Source organism: Homo sapiens, chromosome 7, assembly GCF_000001405.40.
Source record: "Homo sapiens chromosome 7, GRCh38.p14 Primary Assembly".
Classification (NCBI taxonomy): domain Eukaryota; kingdom Metazoa; phylum Chordata; class Mammalia; order Primates; family Hominidae; genus Homo; species Homo sapiens.
Window position 1 is genome coordinate 127,693,037 of NC_000007.14, and position 19,781 is coordinate 127,712,817.

The 19,781-nt window shown below is 39.7% G+C and overlaps 1 protein-coding gene across 2 annotated transcripts in view, besides 1 other annotated feature; it reads left to right on the top strand.

Moving 5' to 3' along the window:
* SND1 (staphylococcal nuclease and tudor domain containing 1) overlaps window positions 1–19,781 on the top strand; it is a 440,400-nt gene that overhangs the window by 40,843 nt on the left and 379,776 nt on the right. For both annotated transcript variants that reach the window (NM_014390.4, XM_017011987.3), the window contains exons 3-9: window positions 1,792–1,912; window positions 5,839–5,917; window positions 8,127–8,287; window positions 9,399–9,490; window positions 10,129–10,287; window positions 11,803–11,909; window positions 14,521–14,611. In NM_014390.4, the coding sequence (NP_055205.2) occupies window positions 1,792–1,912; window positions 5,839–5,917; window positions 8,127–8,287; window positions 9,399–9,490; window positions 10,129–10,287; window positions 11,803–11,909; window positions 14,521–14,611 (810 nt within the window). The remainder of the gene's footprint in view (window positions 1–1,791; window positions 1,913–5,838; window positions 5,918–8,126; window positions 8,288–9,398; window positions 9,491–10,128; window positions 10,288–11,802; window positions 11,910–14,520; window positions 14,612–19,781) is intronic.
* Window positions 10,237–10,736: an enhancer, noted in NCBI's record as "H3K27ac hESC enhancer chr7:127343327-127343826 (GRCh37/hg19 assembly coordinates)". NCBI's record gives its function as "activates a minimal SCP1, AML or CMV promoter by ChIP-STARR-seq in primed H9 embryonic stem cells {active_cell/tissue: H9 hESC(primed)}" and the evidence as "EXISTENCE:reporter gene assay evidence [ECO:0000049][PMID:30033119]".

Sequence of the window (19,781 nt, forward strand, 5' to 3'; positions counted from 1 at the left end):
AAGTATTTAGGAAAGCTCTATGTTACTGAATTTTAAATATTAATACTCAGGACTACATCTTAAACTTATCTGTAGCTGTGTATGTTTTTGGAGTAAGTTGATCCCTAAGGTAATAAAAATTTGGGACGCTTTGTTCATTGGTTCGGTGCTGTTTCTGTGATGTGGTTGATAATTGGGATCATTTGTCAATCATCAGACTCTTTGGTGACTGGTATCTGATTTTATTTTTGGAGATTGGGGTGGGGGGTAGAAATGAGACATAAAATCAAGGTGAACTTGATATTGTCATTGAGTGAATTGGGTTGGCCTCTGCTTTGAAGAGAGGGCATGATGTGAGCAAGTATCTGTTCATTTTTGCATCTTTAAGAACCCTTACTGAGGATCAGTTCTCTAGAACCTCATGATTTATGTTATGTAACAGTACTGTTTTTATGACTACCAGCCCAACAGTTTGGTGGACCTGCCACCTTTTGATTGGTTTCTGGTTTCTTAGAAGTCATATGGATATTTTTCTTCTAGAAAAGCTTGTTGGGTGACTTCATGGAATAATTAGCATGGACCAAAAAGGTTAACAGAGGCTTCCTTTCAGGCCATCAGTTTACTCTTTTGCCTTTACTGTGTGTAGCATGAGTTCTGTGGTTTGAAGAGATTATAATAGACAATGTATGCATATTGTATATCACTTTTCCCTTTTATACTTCACATTTTTTTCAGCATGTGAGCTCCTACTAATCATACGCTCCTTGAACACCTACCCCATCCCTCCCCATTTTGGTACTAAGGGAACTTGGGACATTAAACCAGGTCCAGACTATAAGTTCAAGTGCCAGTGGCCACTGTGCCAATGGCTTCAGAGGAGAATCTCCCTTTGTCTGAACCATCCCAGGAGTGATAGGATGGGGAGGGGCAAAACCACCCCTTTGTGTATTATCTTGAGATGACATGGAGACTCTGCTTCTACTGTGTGGATGTGTAGCTCAGTCCTCGTGTCTGTGCATGGAACGGTGAGAGGAAAGAATCACCATTATCAAGGTGATCCTTTGTCAGGGGCTGTTACTGGTGTCCTCCCAAGGATGTTGGGACCTGTAAAGGCTTCAGACTAGAGCAGAAGTAGAAGAAGAGCCATTTTGGGGGATATCTTCTTACTATTGCTGATCTTTAAAGAGGGGAGTGGAGATGACTTAAATAAGGCTCACTTGAGCAGGGGATTCACTCTGAAATAAGAACACTAGAATCATGTCCCTCCTCCAACAATGGCTTTAACTGGTTTCAGGCTAGTTTAATAGGCAGTGAAACTGTTTTAGAAACTGGAAAGAGGCGGAGAAATGGAGGTGGTAGTTGTTATTTATGACTTCCCTCTGCCTAGGTGGGTTCCTGGAGCCTGGACTTCCCATTTGAAGGAGTGGGTTGATATATATACAGCATTTAGAGCAGTGGCTGGCACATGGTATGTGCTATAAAAGCATTGGCAAATGTTATTCACAAAGTAAGCTATAACTCTGAACAGACAGTGATAGGGAAAAAGTCCTGCTGCCAGTGTCTGGAAAACTCTGAGGCCTGTTTTTAGTGTCTGTGTTAGTTAAACCAACTGCTGGACCCTCCTTTTTTTATGAGCCCCCTAAGTGTGCGATCTGCATTGTGTGCATTTCATTTTTATATTCTCAAGGTCCAGCGCAGGGCCAGGACCATGGTAGGTACTCAGACATTTACTGAAGGTATGAAGTTGCTTGAATGCTGATTGGCATCTGAAACTAGGCAGTTCTCATGTGACATATTTGTTTTGTCTTTCAGCCCTGGGCATTTCCAGCTCGAGAGTTCCTTCGAAAGAAGCTGATTGGGAAGGAAGTCTGTTTCACGATAGAAAACAAGACTCCCCAGGGGCGAGAGTATGGCATGATCTACCTTGGAAAAGGTGAGCTGCAGGGAGAGGACTCATTTCTCTCAAGTCTAAAGTTCTGTTAAAGATCAGTTTTCTTGTGGTGGAAGGCCAGTGTGGGTTCTGGTGGAGGAAGCTCTAGGACAGTTGGCTGAAGGCATAAATGCAAATGCTTTGGGCCCTGAGCACAGGGAATATATGTGTACAGAGGCATGCCCCCGGTGTTCCTGTTCCTTGTGTACCCCTTTTCCTGCTTTGGTTTAGGTGCATGTAGTATAGAGTTGCATTCTTCCTCATGTTTAGGCCATTCACTCATGGAACTCAATGGCTCTGTGCTTCTAGGTCAGAATGCTAATTGAATTTCTATAGATTTCCTTTTGTATCTTCTATTTCTTTTATCTATCTTGTGGCTTTTCTTCTCTTGGGAACTCTTTTGGAAAGGAAGATTTGTTGAGGGCCTGTGGTTTTTTGCAGCCTACATGTTTTTAATGGAATGGAAGGAGCACAGATGTCGGGGTTGCATAGATGTAGGTTAGAATTCTGATTTCCTACCATGTGCCCTTACTTAACCCTTAACCTCTGTAAGCCCTAGTTTCTTCATTTGTAAGTTATTGAGAGAGTTGAAAGAGATAGTATAGGCCAGGCACCGTGGCTCACACCTGTAATCCCAGCACTTTGGGAGTGTGAGGCAGGAGGATCTCTTAAGCACAAGAGTTCGAGACCAGCCTGGGGCAACATGGTAAAACCCCGTTTCTATGGAAAAATTAGCCAGGCGTGGTGGCGCACGCCTGTAGTCGTAGCTACTCGGGAGGCTGAGGTGGGAGAATCACCTGAGTCTGGGAGGTCAAGTCTGTGGTGAGCCATGATCATGCCACTGCACTCTAGCCTGAGTGACTGAGTGAGATCCTGGTCAAAAAACAAAAAAATAGTATATGTAAAGCACCTCACTCTGGATATTTGTGTGTGTGCATATTGTATAGCTGGGCCAGATGCTTCATGGGATATTAGATGTTCTGGGCTTTTTGGATTAGGTAGTAAGAGAATAAGATTGAGGAATGGAGTTGGAACAGAAATAGGATGTTGAAAGAGGAATTGGTAGGATGTTCTCCAGAAAGCAGCCAGATGAACATGAAGTTATGTTCATTGAACTATTTGTGGAGCAGAATTTTTTTTAAGTTTCCTTTGATTCTTTGATTAAAAACCTTTCAGATAGCTCATGTAACGGAGTTGATTTGGATAATCTATTTGAGTTGGATAGTCAGTGCTAGCAATAAGCAAGCAGGGTAGAATGACAGTGCTAACAGTATTCTGCTAAGACTCTGTTTTTAATGATAGAGGTCTCAGAAAAATGAGTTGAGAATGACCTTTGAGGCATCTTGTTCGATTTCCTACCTAGTAGAGAAATACCTCTTTTTAGTCTCCCAGAAAACGGCTACCTGCTTCTTATTTGAATGAGAAATTATAGAAACCTAAGGCCTCTTTTCAAAAAGGGAAATAAGTTTGCTTTTTACCCGTAATTCTTATAATATAGTAAGAAACAAAACGCTTAAAGATAATTATTGAGTGGTTACTGGTTAGAAAGAATGTAAGAGGAAAAGAAGTGTACTATCTTCAAAATGCAATTGTTAAGGATTTCATTACCTAAAAAATTTCAATTCCATAATAGCTGATCAGTCTTCTGTTACCCCACAAGAGACCTTACCGGACCACAGATAATTGTGGGCACAGATATTTCTATATGTAGAGCACCCCTAAGAGTTCATTTTAATACCCTTGGTCTTCAGCCAAAATGGCCAAATTGTTTATTTTAAGAGAAGCTGATATTTTAAATTATCTGTAGAGTTGTTTTTTAAAAGTTTACTTTTTAAACTGACTCACATTACAAACTGGATATAATTTAATTTAGTATGTTAACACATTAGTGTTTAGAATAAGAACTGGCACATAGGTGATCAATAAATATGTACTTAAAGAATGGTTGGAATTGCTTATAATCTTTCCATTTTAAAGATAAAGAAATAGTTTAATGTTTAATATTTTCACTAAGGTATTTTAACTAACTCTTAATGCCAATTCTATTATAATGAAAGAAAACAGTGGCTTAGATAATTAGCATTTGTGTTTATTTTATTGCTACCCACTTTTTTTTATGATGGGAGAGAATGGTAAAATTTGAGACTTTGTGGTTAACCTAGAACTTATTGAAGAGATGATTAGTTTTCTGGCTTTTGAAGACAATATAATCACCCACCTGCTCTGAATACTGTCTCCAGATGTGACTTGGTCAAATTCAGAATTTGATAAGTAAGGAGCAAGAATAAGATCCTTGGCCTACAAATTCCTGTTTCACTTTCCTATCATCCACATTTCGTTGCCTCCGTTGAGGGTTCACCCCAGGGGAAGATACTTTTCTCCTTTTTGCAGGCGCATTCAGAACTCACTTTTTAGAAGTGGGCCATTTCAGCAAGCTATGTGCCAAGAAAATGTCTGACTTATCGGGTGTGCTGTTGATCAGCCCATTTTATGGTCACTCACCTTGTTTGTACCTGGGCTTCGTTCTTTCCACCCCCAGATCTCCTGGCACTTCACTGCTCAATTTTCCCTTAATTGTTGAGTCCTTCCTTTTGACTTTTCACTCTTTGGGATTCCTGTTGCTTGGAAGAACCAATGCAAAATTTACTAATGTGTCTTTGGCTGGCCTCAGCAGTAACCTCAACAGAAAGGGTCAGGTGATCCACACTCACCCTCGGAACCTGAACCTTCTTTGTATAAACTTCTCAGTTCAACTTTTCTTGGTAGGAAAAGAGGCTTAAGATTTGCCCCTGCAGAAATTTGGGCATGATAATGGCGAGGCAATTAGGTTGGGCTTGTGGGGCGGTGTATGTACCTGTTACTGCTTGCAGAGGTCGATGTGTAGTGTGCCGAATGTAAATCTTACAGAATTTTATTATTTGCTGACATTACCTATCAGTTAGACTGCTGTGTTTCAGATTATCTTGGAGCTTGTTCTCTGCCATATTAAAGATTTTTATGTGATTATTCCCTCATAGATGTCTTCCTTTATGGTTTTGGCCGACAAGCAGAGATTTAAGAGAAAACACTGAGCCTGAAAGCTTTTTCAATAGCCTCGAACTACAATTAATATTTCAAGTGCCTGGGTAGAACCTAATCAGATTGGATTTTATGTTTAACTTTATTTTTCTTGCTAGGTCTGATGGCTGCTTTGTGAGAGATGAGAAATCTAGCCTGTGTTCTCTCAGTATCCCTATGAGAGCAAGAGAAAGTCTTTGTCAAATGGTGTAGCTTGTCTTGGTGTCCTCTTGGAGCAGAGAATAGGACATCCCTGAGAGGAATTGGACTTTCTGGCATAACGTGTGATAGCCAGCCCTAAATGAATCCGTCTCTCTGATCGTACACGGTGAAGGGACTAACTTTTTCTAATTCTTGCCATGCGCTTGGCACTGTGCTTGGTGATTTACACACATTACTATTTAATTCTCACAAGAACCCATCAAGGCAAGTGCTCTCCCCACTTTAGAGATGAGTAAATTAAGATGCTGGGAGAGCTTGTCGAAGCTATTAAGCAGCTGGATTTGTGTTCAGCTCCAGGCTTCTATTCCTCCAGTCACCACTTTATACTCTCTTGAGCTGCCAGCTGTGTGTGTCTTGCTTTCTTGTCCGTCTCCCATGGTTCCTGAGATTGCGTTTGGCCTGGAAGATACACTAGAAAATTAAAAACAAAGTCCTGAGAAGAAGATTGATAGAACTTTGGGTCCTAGAGACTAGATATTATGGGAAAAGAGGTTTTCTGAAAAACCCAATGCTACATTGCTGCTGTGTCCATTTCTCTGGCAGCATTATTCTCCTTGAGGAGCTAAGTGTGAAAGTGGTCCCATTTGGGCTCTGTTGCTGTTGGAGGCAGGTTTGAATCTTGTTTTTAAATCCCCCCTTTTCCTCCTCAGATACCAATGGGGAAAACATTGCAGAATCACTGGTTGCAGAGGGCTTAGCCACCCGGAGAGAAGGCATGAGAGCTAATAAGTAAGTATTCATTACTCCGCTGTCTCTCTGACAGCGGTAAATTGGCTTTGCTGCATTTTTCATTCTTGCCCCCAGACATGGGTAACTGCAGGGGCTTTCACACCTTCGCGGACATTCTTGCCCAGGTATGGATTATTCTGAGCTAGGAAGTCACTCAGCATTCACTAATGGTGTTTGAGGTATATGACTCTTTTAAACACAGGCTTTGAGACTAGGCAATTCTATTCTTCATATTCATAAGAGTCAACAAGTCTTAGACTAGATATTCAGTTCCAGAGTGTTTACCTGTCTGTCTAGCGAGTCCCAAATATTTATTGAGCACTTACTATGTGCCAGGCAGTTTTCTAGGCACTGAGAATATAGTGTGAATAGACTTAGCTTCTGCTGACGTTTTAATGGGGAGACAGTCAGTAAACAAGTAGATATACAGTCAGTGCAAGGAATAAGTGCAGTCAAAATTAAGGGGGTGAATAAATAGAATACAAAGCAAAATCTGTTGTTTAGAATCTGGAGAAACTGACAAGGCCTCACTTGTTCTGTTTTCAGAGTCAGGAAAAATTTATATCTCTTCAAAGTCTTTCAAGTCTGTGTTGTTTATGTATCTGTAGTTGCTTAATAGGTAAAATGTATTTGTTTAGCCAATGGCAATGTGAACCTGTTAGAAAGGGGTTGTGTGTATGTCAGGTTTATAGTATGTATATCATGTTCAAGTTCACTAGTGTTGGCTGTCAGTAGGATGGATTGCAGCTGGTTTTCATTAACATTTTAGTCTCTGAAAAGTGCTACATCTATAATTTGGAGGCTATAATAATGCTGTTTTATATCATTAAGTCCCTGCTCTCTTATATGACTGTCATAGCTGTAGGAAAGGCTTTAGAGAAACATTTGCATGAGGTATACCAATGATGAGGATGAGCAAAGGCAAAAATGCGCCTTTTGCATTCTTTCTACCTTCACAGACATAGGGGCCAGGTCTTTCACCATAGACTTGTGTGGTCCTTTCTGACTGCAAGGAGACATTTGCTGGACTCTATAATTGGGGTGTGCCAGTGGGAATTTGTTGAATTAAGATACTTGTTTTGGTGGTGTTTTTGGACGTATGCCAAATTTGTATCTTAAGGACAATTACTGGCTTGATTACCATTTCAGTATTTTGGGGGAATTCAGTTTGCAATTGGAATGAATAATAAAAAAATCTCACAGCAGGACTGGACCATCTCAACAAATAAATCTCCCCTGGAGTACCAGTCCTTTTTCCTCCAAAATTGTTTTGACTTCAAGTCACTTTTTCCCAGTTTTGTGTTTGGTTCAATCTCTTACACTACATTTCTTCATCTAATTTTGACTGTGAATTTGGATCCCTGAGGGTGTGGTTGCCTTTTGGGGTAGGGAAGAGAGGTGAAGACTTCTGGCTTGAGAAATTGGTAGGTCATCCTTGCTTAGGAGTCCCTCCTGCTGAAGATGAGAAGAGATTCAGTTTATGCATACAGCCGTTGATGGCACCGAGTGTCTGAGATTATGCAAAAGCCATGCAGTTCCATGCTGCCTTTAGCTCAGATATAACAGAGAAAGAGGAGCCATTTCTAGCCTTTTTAAAAAAACTTGATTTGATTTGTCTACTGATATTTTGGCTGCTCTAGTACATAGTTTGGTTTCTTGCCTGATGAAGGAGGAGGCTTCCATTTTCAAGCTGCTTTTGTCTAGCTTGCCTTATTGAATGTGTAAGTAGTTGGGGGGTAACATTATCTGTGATAGCAGTGTTCATTCCACATTCCTCAGCCTTGTTCTGTAAACTGAGAGAGAGAAAGAGTGGTTCTTAGTCGGCTTCTCTGCACTACCGAGCTGTGCCTGGGATTCCAGTTCCTGAATCCGGGATGGTTAAATGAAGCTCTACCACCTGGAGCAACTCTGAGCCACTAACTTGTTCTCTTCTGATCAGTGATGGTGGCAGTACTGAGATGTGTGTTCTTTAGATCGTCTCATTAAATACTCTTACTATTTAACCTTTTGTTTGAAAGGACAAGTTTGGAATCTAGAAATTGCAATCATGGTGATTTTCTGGTTATAGGCTTGGGTCTTAAGCCATAGATCTGAAACAGACCTTTGTTGTCTTCAAGGGGTGAAGATGCTGAAGAAAACCTATATCAGAGAGCCTCGTATTTCTGTTTGTGAACTCACTAACCACTCTTGTTTATTTTTTATGTCCCAGTCCTGAGCAGAACCGGCTTTCAGAATGTGAAGAACAAGCAAAGGCAGCCAAGAAAGGGATGTGGAGTGAGGGGAACGGTTCACATACTATCCGGGATCTCAAGTATACCATTGAAAACCCAAGGCACTTTGTGGACTCACACCACCAGAAGCCTGTTAATGGTGAGGCTGGTGGGAACAGACAGATACGACTCAGGGTGATTTCTTTCTGTTTGCACTCTTTGCTTCTTGAGGTTTGTAAAATCTAGTAAGCCTTTCTTATACTTATTTAGTATCCATGGGAAATCCTTAAGGTTAAAACAGCACCTTAGTATTTCAGAAGGGAATTTGGACTCAGTTCATGTAAATCACATCAGATACATTCTGCAGAAGCTAGTCCTGTGCTGTTGCAGGGTAGTAAATTGCTGGTATTTTGCACATTGATTGTGTTCTGTTCTCTAAAAGAAGGCTACTTAAATACCAACCCTAAAACTTAAAGGTAGCAAAATGTATTCTGTATACATCTAAACAGATACGGTCATGCTTCATTGGAGATTGGTTCCAGGACCCTATCCCGCTCTTCCTCCCGGGAATACCAGAATCAAAGATGCTCGAGTCCTTTATATAAAATGGTGCAGTATTTGCCTATAACCCACTCACATCCTCTCATATACTTTAAATCATTGCTAGATTACTTACAATACCTATTATAGTGCCTATACACCACTTCATCTGTGTGGACTCAACATAATACTTGGTGTGTGGCAAATTCATGTTTTGCTTTTTGGAACTTTGTGGAATTTTTCTTTTTTCTGAATATTTTTGACCTGTGGTTGGTTGACTCCATGAATGTGAAACCTATGGATATAGAGGGCTGACTGTATGTGTATTTATATGCTATATAGTTTTTGGCCCGGTTTTGAGACCTTGCTAACTGCAGACTCTGTAAAATAAGATTTTTACCAATCTTAAGTTACTAATTATTTTTTGTTGGGTACCTGGTACTCAGGTGAGAATCCTAGCTTATGGATAACAAACCTTCAGTGTGAGCCATGAGGTCCCAGACAGTTCAGAAGACAGAGAAGCAGGTCTAATCTGCATTCTCCAGGAATCATTTATGCAAGAGTCTGTTATGTAAACTCTCATGATCTGCAAGTGCATCCTTACTTTTCAGAGGGAGGCTTTCTCAGGGTTTTTGGGGAGAGGAAACTGTGTTAAGTGCAGTTTGATTGGGCAGTGTTTATCCTTGTTAGGATGTTTGCTAAGGACTTAAGCTGTTTATTCTGTCACACAGCTATCATCGAGCATGTGCGGGACGGCAGTGTGGTCAGGGCCCTGCTCCTCCCAGATTACTACCTGGTTACAGTCATGCTGTCAGGCATCAAGGTCAGACCATACTCTTGGCTACGTGGTGGGTTTAGAGTGTGTGGATGTTCAGTGATGGATTCTTCTACTTGGGGACTTCGGATCTGCTGTTTCTTCCTAATGTGGGCCATTAACATTGACTTTATACTTGTTTTAGTTTAAACTTTGTAGTACGACAGTTCTAATTGGATCAAATTATTTATTTATTTTTTAAAGTATTCTGGGTCTAGAATGGGCTGTGCTTAGGGTTGTTAAGTATGTAAACCTAGAGAAATGGAACAATGAGAGGCTATGAAGTTTGCTGAATATGGCTTGCATTAAGCATTAATGTAAAACATTCATTTTGGTTTTTAAAAAATCAGAGATTAAAAGCTGAGCACTGGCAAGTCTTTTTTTGGTAAGGGGCCACTTTTTACTGTAATTAAAATTATTGTCCTCACGATAATGTGAGTTTTATTGTCTACCTTTGCCAAGAAGTCTGAGATGATGATATTTCCAGTCCCTTTTTACCAGTGTGTTTTAAATTAGAAGGACTGATTTAAGACCTTCCTGAGTTTAGCTTCGTGGCATGTGTGTTTTTTGGAAGGCTTAGTGTGGGGCGAGAGTGCCTAGCACTCACATTTAGGCTGCATTACTCACCTACCTTGCCTTTGCTTTAGTGCCCAACTTTTCGACGGGAAGCAGATGGCAGTGAAACTCCAGAGCCTTTTGCTGCAGAAGCCAAATTTTTCACTGAGTCGCGACTGCTTCAGAGAGATGTTCAGATCATTCTGGAGAGCTGCCACAACCAGAACATTCTGGGTACCATCCTTCATCCAGTGAGTGTGTCTGTGCAGACTGGGTGGTGATGGGCTAGGGATGCATTTGGGGTTTGAAGAATAGGGGTTTGCTTCTCTTTCTCTGTATTTAACATCCATTAAGATATTGGCCAGTTGTGGTGGCTCACGCCTGTAATCCCACCACTTTGGGAGGCCAAGGCGGGTGGATCACGAAGTTAGGAGATTGAGACCATCCTGGCCAACATGGTGAAACCCTGTTTCTACTAAAAATACAAAAATTAGCCTGTCGTGGTGGCGTGCACCTATAGTCCCAGCTACTCAGGAGGCTGAGGCAGGAGAACTGCTTGAACCCGGGAGGCGGAGGTTGCAGTGAGCCGAGATTGCACCACTGCACTCCAGTCTGGGCAACAGAGCAAGACTCTGTCTCAAAAAAAAATTATGGCAGGATTATTATTAATATCTGCTGATTTTTGAGGCATTTTCTAGGGAGTTATCATTTGTCTTACAGAATTGGACAATTTTCTCACCTTTAGGAAATTAATCTCAAGTGTTATTGGGTTCATAAGAAGAGGAACTTGATCACATATTTATCTAACTGTTTGGTCCTAGGGGTTGCTACATTCATTAGAAGTAGAACTGAAATTTGTAGAATAGGGTTGATGAGGTCTAGAAGTCAGCTAGCTGAAGTATTGGTAGATCAATGATGAGGAAACTGAGGTATGGAAAAATTATGTTTTGTATTCCAGGCTTTATCCAGCTACCTCCTAACTCTGCTTTTAGCAGGGAGTAGGTTCTTTATGTTCTTATAGTTCCGATTCTTGGATGTTTTACCTTATTGTGCACTTTGATAGTTGGGTTATTCTTAGATGTAAGATGGCCTTCTTTTTAACACCTGAAATTGAATGGATTTTCATTATTTTAACCTGTGTCCAATACAGAGCTAAGCTACTTACTCTTTGGCTAGATAATTCTTCCATGATGGCAGTTGTGGAAGGTTGAAAGGCTTGGTTTGGGGTGTGCCAAGGTCATGTCTGTTTCTTCTGGAGTGCTGTCTGGCTGTGCCCTGCCAGATGGCTCTGTGTTACAGTACAGTGTGAATTTTAATTCACTGGGCAAAATGTAGCTTCCGTTATTCCCTGCTCAGCCTGTTCTTCAGCTCTTATGAAAGGGGGAGGAAGTGCTGATCTTAAGGGAGGGAAGAATAAGGTGTAATCTCTATTAAAGATTAACATCCTCCTCTGCCCACAAGAAGAGCTATTGAAATGTCAATTCCATTCAGTGCCACTAGCATTTATCCTACTCCTATTAAGTGAGTTATTATGGTGGATATTGTGGGGATACGAAGCCAAGGCTATTGAAAGGAGTCTCAGAGTGGCATCTCTCCCATCTTAGGAGTGGTTTCGTAGTGAGAGAAGCTACTCTACTGTAAACAAACAAACAAACAAACTGCAGACTAGTTTGTGACTGTGTTAATTGTGTCAGAAGTCTAGAGAAATGGATTCTTTTACAACAGAGTCTAATCCGTGCCTGCCTCTCATGTACCTTGTTTTTCAGAATGGCAACATCACAGAGCTCCTCCTGAAGGAAGGTTTCGCACGCTGTGTGGACTGGTCGATTGCAGTTTACACCCGGGGCGCAGAAAAGCTGAGGGCGGCAGAGAGGTAAGGTCTGTCCAAGAGGCCTTCCAGCTGTGGATCTTGTTAAGGATCTTTAGGGAAAGAAATCTGGTGATTTGCTCACACCCCTGTGTGTCAGTGTTCATTTTACTTCAGTAAAGGAGTAGGGCAGTTCCTTATAGAGGAGTGACTTAAATATTGGTCTTCAGGTTCAGTCTAATTGAATGCTGGATGGTAAGGACTTACAGTTTTCACTTAGACATTATTCTTCACTTGATTTGCTTTTTTAATGTTTTCAGGTCATTTTTTTCCCAAGCCCCTTGCTTAAGTTCTGGGTTTTAGACATTTGGAATGTAATAAACTTGAAGCTTATTTGAGAAAGATGAAATTGCTTATTAGCTGCTCCCAAACAGACAGACAAGAGCAGGGGTATGATGGAAAGACAGAGCCTGTAGGTTTTAAACCAGGACCATTCAATATTGTTGTGAGGCCTATGCCCTAACTTATTTAAAAGTGTGTTTCAGTTATAAACACTAATATAACTCTGAGACGTTATTGGTGTGTTTTTGACTTGTTGGCTATCGTTAAAGCAGATATAGGAATAACTTGTTTCTAGAAAACTGCATGTAGAAATTCCAAATATTAGTCGACATTTCAACTGTCAGCGTCAAGATGTAGATGCAGATGTAGATGTAGATGTAGATGTAGATGTAGATGTAGATGTAGATGTAGATGTAGGTGAACTTTCTCCATTTGATGGGATAGATGGAAGAAAATAAAGCAGGTAGCAACAATAGATGAATGGAAATGATGCTCGGGAAAGTCTGAATCACCACCTTGCATGACACATTTAAGCAAAGACAACACACAGCTGATGACAGTAGTCCACTCTCAAGTCTTGCTGTATGACTTGTTTCAGAATCTTAAAGTTATAATGGTCTTGATAACTACATTTTTGTGACAGATATACAGCTAAGAGATGTGCAACGACGTGAATGAATAACTATAGTATTTATTCCATTTCTTAGGTCTTTTTCATCCTTGAGTACCTATAAGCAGAAGTATTTGCAGGTTTTTATAAAAGTAGATATTAATCTAGGCCATTTGATGTGGCACATCTGACATGTGTATTGTCTGATGGAAAAGAACAGTGATTGCTTAGAATTTTTTTTATGTTGTTCTACAATTAAGTTAGAAAGATATAATAACCGTATCAAGTACAGTGTTCCAAATACTTCCGATTATTCTACAATGCTCAATTTCTGTTTTTTGGTTCAGAGAATCCTGTTATGTTCATTAGTATTCTAAATTAATTTGATTTTTTTTGCATTCTTTAATTTCTTGCCCCCCCTCCCCCCCCCCACCTTTTTTTTTTGAGACGGAGTCTTGCTCTGTTGCCAGGCTGGAGTGCAGTGGCACGATCTCCACTTACTGCAACCTCTACCTCCCTGGTTCAAGCGATTCCTCTGCCTCAGCCTCCCCAGTAGCTGGGACTACAGGCGCATGCCACCACACCTGGCTAATTTTTTTTTGTATTTTAGTGGAGACTGGGTTTCACCACGTTGGCCAGGATGGTCTCGATCTCCTGACCTCGTGATCCGCCCGCCTTGGCCTCCCAAAGTGCTGGGATTACAGGTGTGAGCCACTGTGCCTGGCCCAGTATCTTGCCTTTCTTTCAAGAAAGTGAATGCAATGAAAATAATATCTACATGTTATATGACATCGGTAGAAGATTTTATGGATTTTTTGGGGGAGTGCTCATCATTAAAAAACAAGCTTAGACCAGAGAATGCAAATCCTATTTTGATAATATGTGATTACTTGTCTGCTGTTTTGCATGCTGTATTTGAGCTACTTGAATTGTAGGTAAAATTGCATCCTCTGTATTGAATTACTTCTTGTATTTTACAACTACTACATCCTGCTTTGTGTTTTTCTCATTTTAGTGCTTCTCTAAAACAAAAGATTGCAATACTGTTTTCAGAAATAATAGTTCCTTTTCACTGCACATGTATCCACTTATTTGTAAGTGGTTTAAGACAGCTGTTCATTGATTTTTTTTAATCTTTGCACATATTCCATTTCCTACTCATAGTCTGGCTCAGAAAATATCTACTGGGCATAATACTTCAAAATAAATTTCTGGCTACATAGGTTTTTTTAAACTCTTGTCAGTGAACTTATGAGGATTTTGTTCATTTTCTAATTATTCTATAGATGCACTGTCATGACAGTTTTCTTCTTATATATAGGATTTGGTAGCTGGTAACCTTTTTGTAATTCAGATAGAAATTGAGCAGGTCTGTGCTTTTTAAGAAATATGTTTGTTTAGATGTGTGGGTTCTTCCCATTTTTTTGTAGTAGTCACCCAGGAGATATTAGATAAACCAGAGTTAATAATGAAGGTGGACTTGAACCATCTAGGCTCAAAAAATTGTATGCCTGGACCATAGTCTCCCAGCTGTGGGCTTACATTTTATATATGTATCTTGCATGTTTTCATTTACTCTCGCTCTTTGTTCTGGTTTGACTGGTAGTCTTTCTTCTGGATACATCTATAGGGTAGAGTAGGATGCTGCACCAACTGTGCTCCCATGGTAGTGGTGGATTCCATTTGCTGAGTCTGAATGATCTTGCATCCTTGCTTTGTTGCCAGGTTTGCCAAAGAGCGCAGGCTGAGAATATGGAGAGACTATGTGGCTCCCACAGCTAATTTGGACCAAAAGGACAAGCAGTTTGTTGCCAAGGTGAGTCATTCTCAGCATCTTGATATGCATAGTGGACATTGCCAGGCGAGTAATAATACAAGAATTTGAACAATTAGAAATGCTGAAGCTCTTGAAAATTTCAAGGCAAGCCAGTAGGAGTGTGTGTGTGTGTGTGTGTGTGTGTGTGTGTGTGTGTGTGTGTGTTTATTGTAGGGGGTTTAGAAACCATTAGACTATTTAAATTTCTTTGTAAATTAGCTAACTTCAAACTAGCTTGAAATATCTCTCATAGTTTAGGACTTCTTTTTTATCTGCCTAGCAAATAGCATTATCTTAAGATTTCCTATGTCCAAGTATAGATGGTCCCTGACTTATGCTGGGTCGACTTAAGATATTTTGACTTTACAGTGGTGTGAAAGCAATAGATACTCAGTAGGAACCACATTTGGAGTATCCATACAGCCATTCTGTTTATCACTTTTGGTCTAGTATTCAGTAAATTAATTAAATGAGATATTCAACACTTTATTATAAAACAGGCTTTGTGTTAGATTATTTTGCCCAATTGTAGACTTATGTAAGTGTTCCAAATGTGTTTAAGGTAGGTTAGGCCAAGCTATGATGTTTGGTAGGTTAGGTAAACTAACCTAAGCAAAAGTAGGCTACCTAACCTAAGGTAGGTTAGGCCAAGCTGTGATGTTTGGTAGGTTGTATTAAGTGCCCTTCTTTCCTTCCTTCCTTTCTCCCTCCCTCCCTTCCTTCCTTTCTTCCTTCCTTCCTTCTTCCCTTCCTCCCTTCCTCCCTTCCTGCCTTCCTCCCTTCCTCCCTTCCTTCCTGGCTGAAGAGAGATAAATGCATTTTCAACTTACAGCATTTTCAGCTTATGATGGGTTTATCAGGAGTTAACCCTGGTGCAAATCAAGGAGCACCTATAAATATATGACCTCAAGTTTCTCTTCTTTCTGTTTTGGAGCTCTTGGTTCCCCGCCCCACCGCCCCGAGAGTTTTCCATTGATATGTCTTGGGATAGACTACTTTGAAGGGAACTAGAGCTATTATCCTTGGTGGTATCAGCAGTGCTATAAAAATGTTTTTTCTTAGTTGCATGGTTTTGTAACTTGAGTAGTAGACCTGCTCTCTGTGTCTTCCCAAAATGCTGTAATGTTTTCCAGCCTATTTTTACTTTTGCCAAGAGATGCTAGAAGTTTTGTTTTTATGGGCTAAAAGTGGTTAAGTGCCAAATTCTTGGACTGAGAGGTTCTGTCTCCCTGTCAACTAACCATGAGTTTAGGATGGAAAGCCACTAGGTGGCACTGTGAGCCTGAGAAAGTCTGTCTTTTAAGCAACCTCTGAGGAACTGGCTAAATTTCTTCACTCTCTTTTTTATGATGCCCAAAGTAATAGGTCACAGAGTGGTCTAGTGGCCTCTTTCCCTCTTTTTGTAGGTGATGTCCAGGCAGCTGTGAGGTGAGCCAAAATCATTCCTTTTGGTAGGCATGAGTGGGACTTGCACCTGTTGGGATATCCTGGCATCCTCCAGGTCTTGTTGCAGACCACAATGTCCCTTCTTTGTGAGGCGTGTACGTGTGTGGACACTTGGACATGGCTTGCTCTGCCTACTTGGAACTCACTCAGTTGTGCTTATGCTTCCCGTAGTTAGCATAGCTGTGTTAACATAGCTACAGAATGAAAGGATGATTTTTCACCCAAAAAGGGAGGCAGGCCTTCAATTTTTCGCCATCTTCACTTTGAGAGTCTGTGACATTAGTGATGTAGATGAGGCATGTGAGGATCTTAGTACCCTGTCGTGTTCCTACCAGCCTGTCCTCTATTAAAACTGAGTTTGTAGAAAAACCTAGAATATTTTGAAGAGTTTTGGGCCTTGGCTGGTTGGGGAGTTAACTAAAGCACTGCATAAGAACAAAATTCAAAGGATTTAGATTATTGAGCTTTGCATTTATCTTAAATATGACTTTGTTGGTAATTAGAAAAGGGAGACCTACCTGTAGAAGAATTTTTTCCATTTTCAAAAATCTAGGATCCTAGGATCTGTTTTTTCTTTAAAAGAGAGCGAGGCTTTTATCATGACAATGAAGTTTTATTCATTACAGTGCCAAAGTAGAGGAGATTGCCTCTAGAAATCATCTGATGGAGAATTATGAGGAATAACCAATCTTCTGTAGAAATTGAAACATAAATTGAGACTGTTTGGGTACACGTCCGCTTAGAGGGTAGAGAGAAATGGGAAAAGAGTTTTTAAAACTTGACTTTTAAAAATTCTTTAGCATTCGTTTTGCTTTTAAAACAGGAAAAAAACATAAAGAAGATAAGCATAAATACCCATAGTACATGAAACACTATGACTTGGCCTTGTTTTGTAATTTTTTTTTTTTTTAACAAAGTTGATCATAGTGTCTGTCTCAGGGTTGGCAAACTATGGCCCATGGGCTGAATTTGGCTGGGCACTTGTTTTTGCATGATCTGTGGATTTTACACTGAAAAAAATGGATTTTGCGTTAATAAAAAATATATCGTGGCATGTGAAAATTATGTGAAATTAAATGTCAGTATCGTAAATAAATTGGAACATAGCTATATGTGTTCGCTTGTGTATTGTGTGTGTCTGTTCTTGTGCTATAATGGCAGAGGTGAGTAGTTGTGATAGAAACTGCGTGGCCTGCAAAGCCTAAAATATTTGTTATCTGGCTTTTTACTTAATAGTTTGATGATCTCTGATCTATACCAGTCCTACTCAAAATGCCTTGATAAAGTGACATAAGGAGCTTGGGCCAGAATGTAAATCAAGGCATTACTTCCTTCATCAAGAAAAGCTTACTACAAAAAAAAAAAAAAAAGTCAGCAATGTTCTTAGTGATGTAGTTGATTAATGTTCTAGTACAAGTTCCTTATCTTACTGCAGACTGGCAGCCACTTTGAATAGCACTGATCTGTACTCTTTTGTGTGTAATTTTTAAGTTTGCACATTTTTATTTTTAATACAGAAAATTTAAAAATTTTTTATAGGCTTACTAAAGAATGTACCAGTTCAATTTCACTCTTCCTTGAGGCAGTCACTTTCAACTCTTGGCTAATTCATCCCTGAATAAAACATTTACATGGCTATTTCTTAATTTTTCAGTTTAAGGGCAACTCCTTTCCTTCATACCATGGAAGAGGAGGACTTAGTTTTTTCACATAAGCACACATACTCAAGAGGGCGCACAGTGCTCTTACCCAGTTCTTCCAATATGATTATGTCATAAGTTAGTTAATAGTCAGTATTTATTTTAAGTGATAATCACCACAGTGCTATATAGCATATTATGGCTACTTCTAGTTTCCTGCAAAATTTTTTTGTTTTCCCTGGAGTTAATAATTTTTAAAATTTACATTTTTTTACATACTTATTTTAATTCAGCCTCCAAACTCTGTCTAAATCTCCTCTCAAGAGGAGATTCATTCAGTCTGCTAACAGTATCTTGGAGCTTTGCAACCTGCATCAATCTGGACTGGTTTCTCTTTTTGCCTGTTTTAGAGCTGTCATCTTTGGATTTCTTCACCATTGTCCTGAGGGATTTCTTTGCCTTACTCTTGGATTGGAGCTAGGATTGCTGGATCTCACAGCTTTCTCTTTATAATTTGCAACTTTGTTTTAGTGGCATACATTCTCTAACTTCATGGCAAAGAATGCTTGGGAGGTAAATTTTCTGAGACCTTTCATGTCCATTCTCTACATACACTTGATAGTTTAGCTGGATATAGAATTTTATTTTAGAAGTCATTTTCCATTAGAATTGTATCTATCAGTATCACTCCACTGTCAGTAGTTATCAGAAACTTTTTTGATTTCTAATTTTTTTATGGATCTGAAACCATCCTGATTTCTTATCCTTATATATTTTTTTCTTTCTGAAAGGTTTTAGCAAATTCTTTTTGATCCTAGTGTTCCAACATTTCATAGCGATGCACTTTGTTTATCTATATTTGAGCATATTATGCCTCAATGTTTAGTTGTTTTGTTCTGAGACTTTTTCTCCCAACTCTTTTGTTGGTTTCCATCTAGAATCTTTGTTCTCTTTTTTCTAGAACTCCTATTATTTGGTTGTTGGATTTTGTGGGCTCATCTTCCAGTTTTTTTCTCCTATTTTCTGTCTCATCTTCTATTCTTTTTAGATTTCTTTATAGTTACCTTTCAGTAGTTTTATTGACATGATACTGTTTTATTTTTTAAGAACTTTTTTTGTTCTCTGCATGTTTCTCTTTTACTATTTTAAAAAATAAAGTTTTATACTGACTTCAGAGATAAAAATCATCTCTTAGCTTTCTGCGAAATTGATTTTTTTTTTTTTAGTTTCATTTTTACTGCGCACTCACTATGTTCTTCAAGCCTCTCCTCTCCCCTTCTTGGGTTATTTTGGTCCCTTATTTTTCATATTAGAGGCTTTCCTCAGATATTTGCTGAGTCTTGGTTTTCTGTCTTATTTGAGAATAAGATATTAAAACACTGAGTTTAGAAGCAATGACCCTAGTGTGGGATTTAGGGTATACATATTTGCTTGTTTGTTTTTGAGACAGGGTCTTGCTCTGTCACCCAGGCTGGAGTGCAGTGGTGCCATCACAGCTCACTGCAGCTTCAAGCTCATGGGCTTAAGCGATCCTCGTGCCTCAGCCTCCCGAATAGCTGGGACTACAGGTGCACGCTAACACACCTGGCTAATTTTTAAATTTTTTGTAGAGATGAGGTCTCCCTATGTTGCCCAGGCTGGTCTTGAACTCCTGGGCTCAAGTGATCCTCCCACCTTGAGCTCCCAAAGTTGCAGGGATTATAGGTGTGACCCACCATGCCTGGCCAGGGTATACATCTTGAAATCCATCTGCTTCTTACAAAGATTTGAAACCATCCATCATTTTTGGTCCCATTTTCATTCCCAATTGAGATGCTTGATTTGACAGTTTCTGAGTCTTGGCAGATTAGGGAGAGTGGGACTGCGGTATAAATCAGATTGCCTATTGTGTTTTCTCGCCACTGTCTCAGGATTTAGCTTTTGTGAGTCAGTGGAGTAAGTTACTACTCATCCATCTGCTTTCCAGCTTCCAGGGTTTTGTTGCAGTGTTCTCTCTCATTATCTTCTTCCTTTTGGGCTTATGTATAGATACGTTTTACAGATCCCTTTTATCTAGAGGTGTTTAGAGAGGGACCCAAAATAAA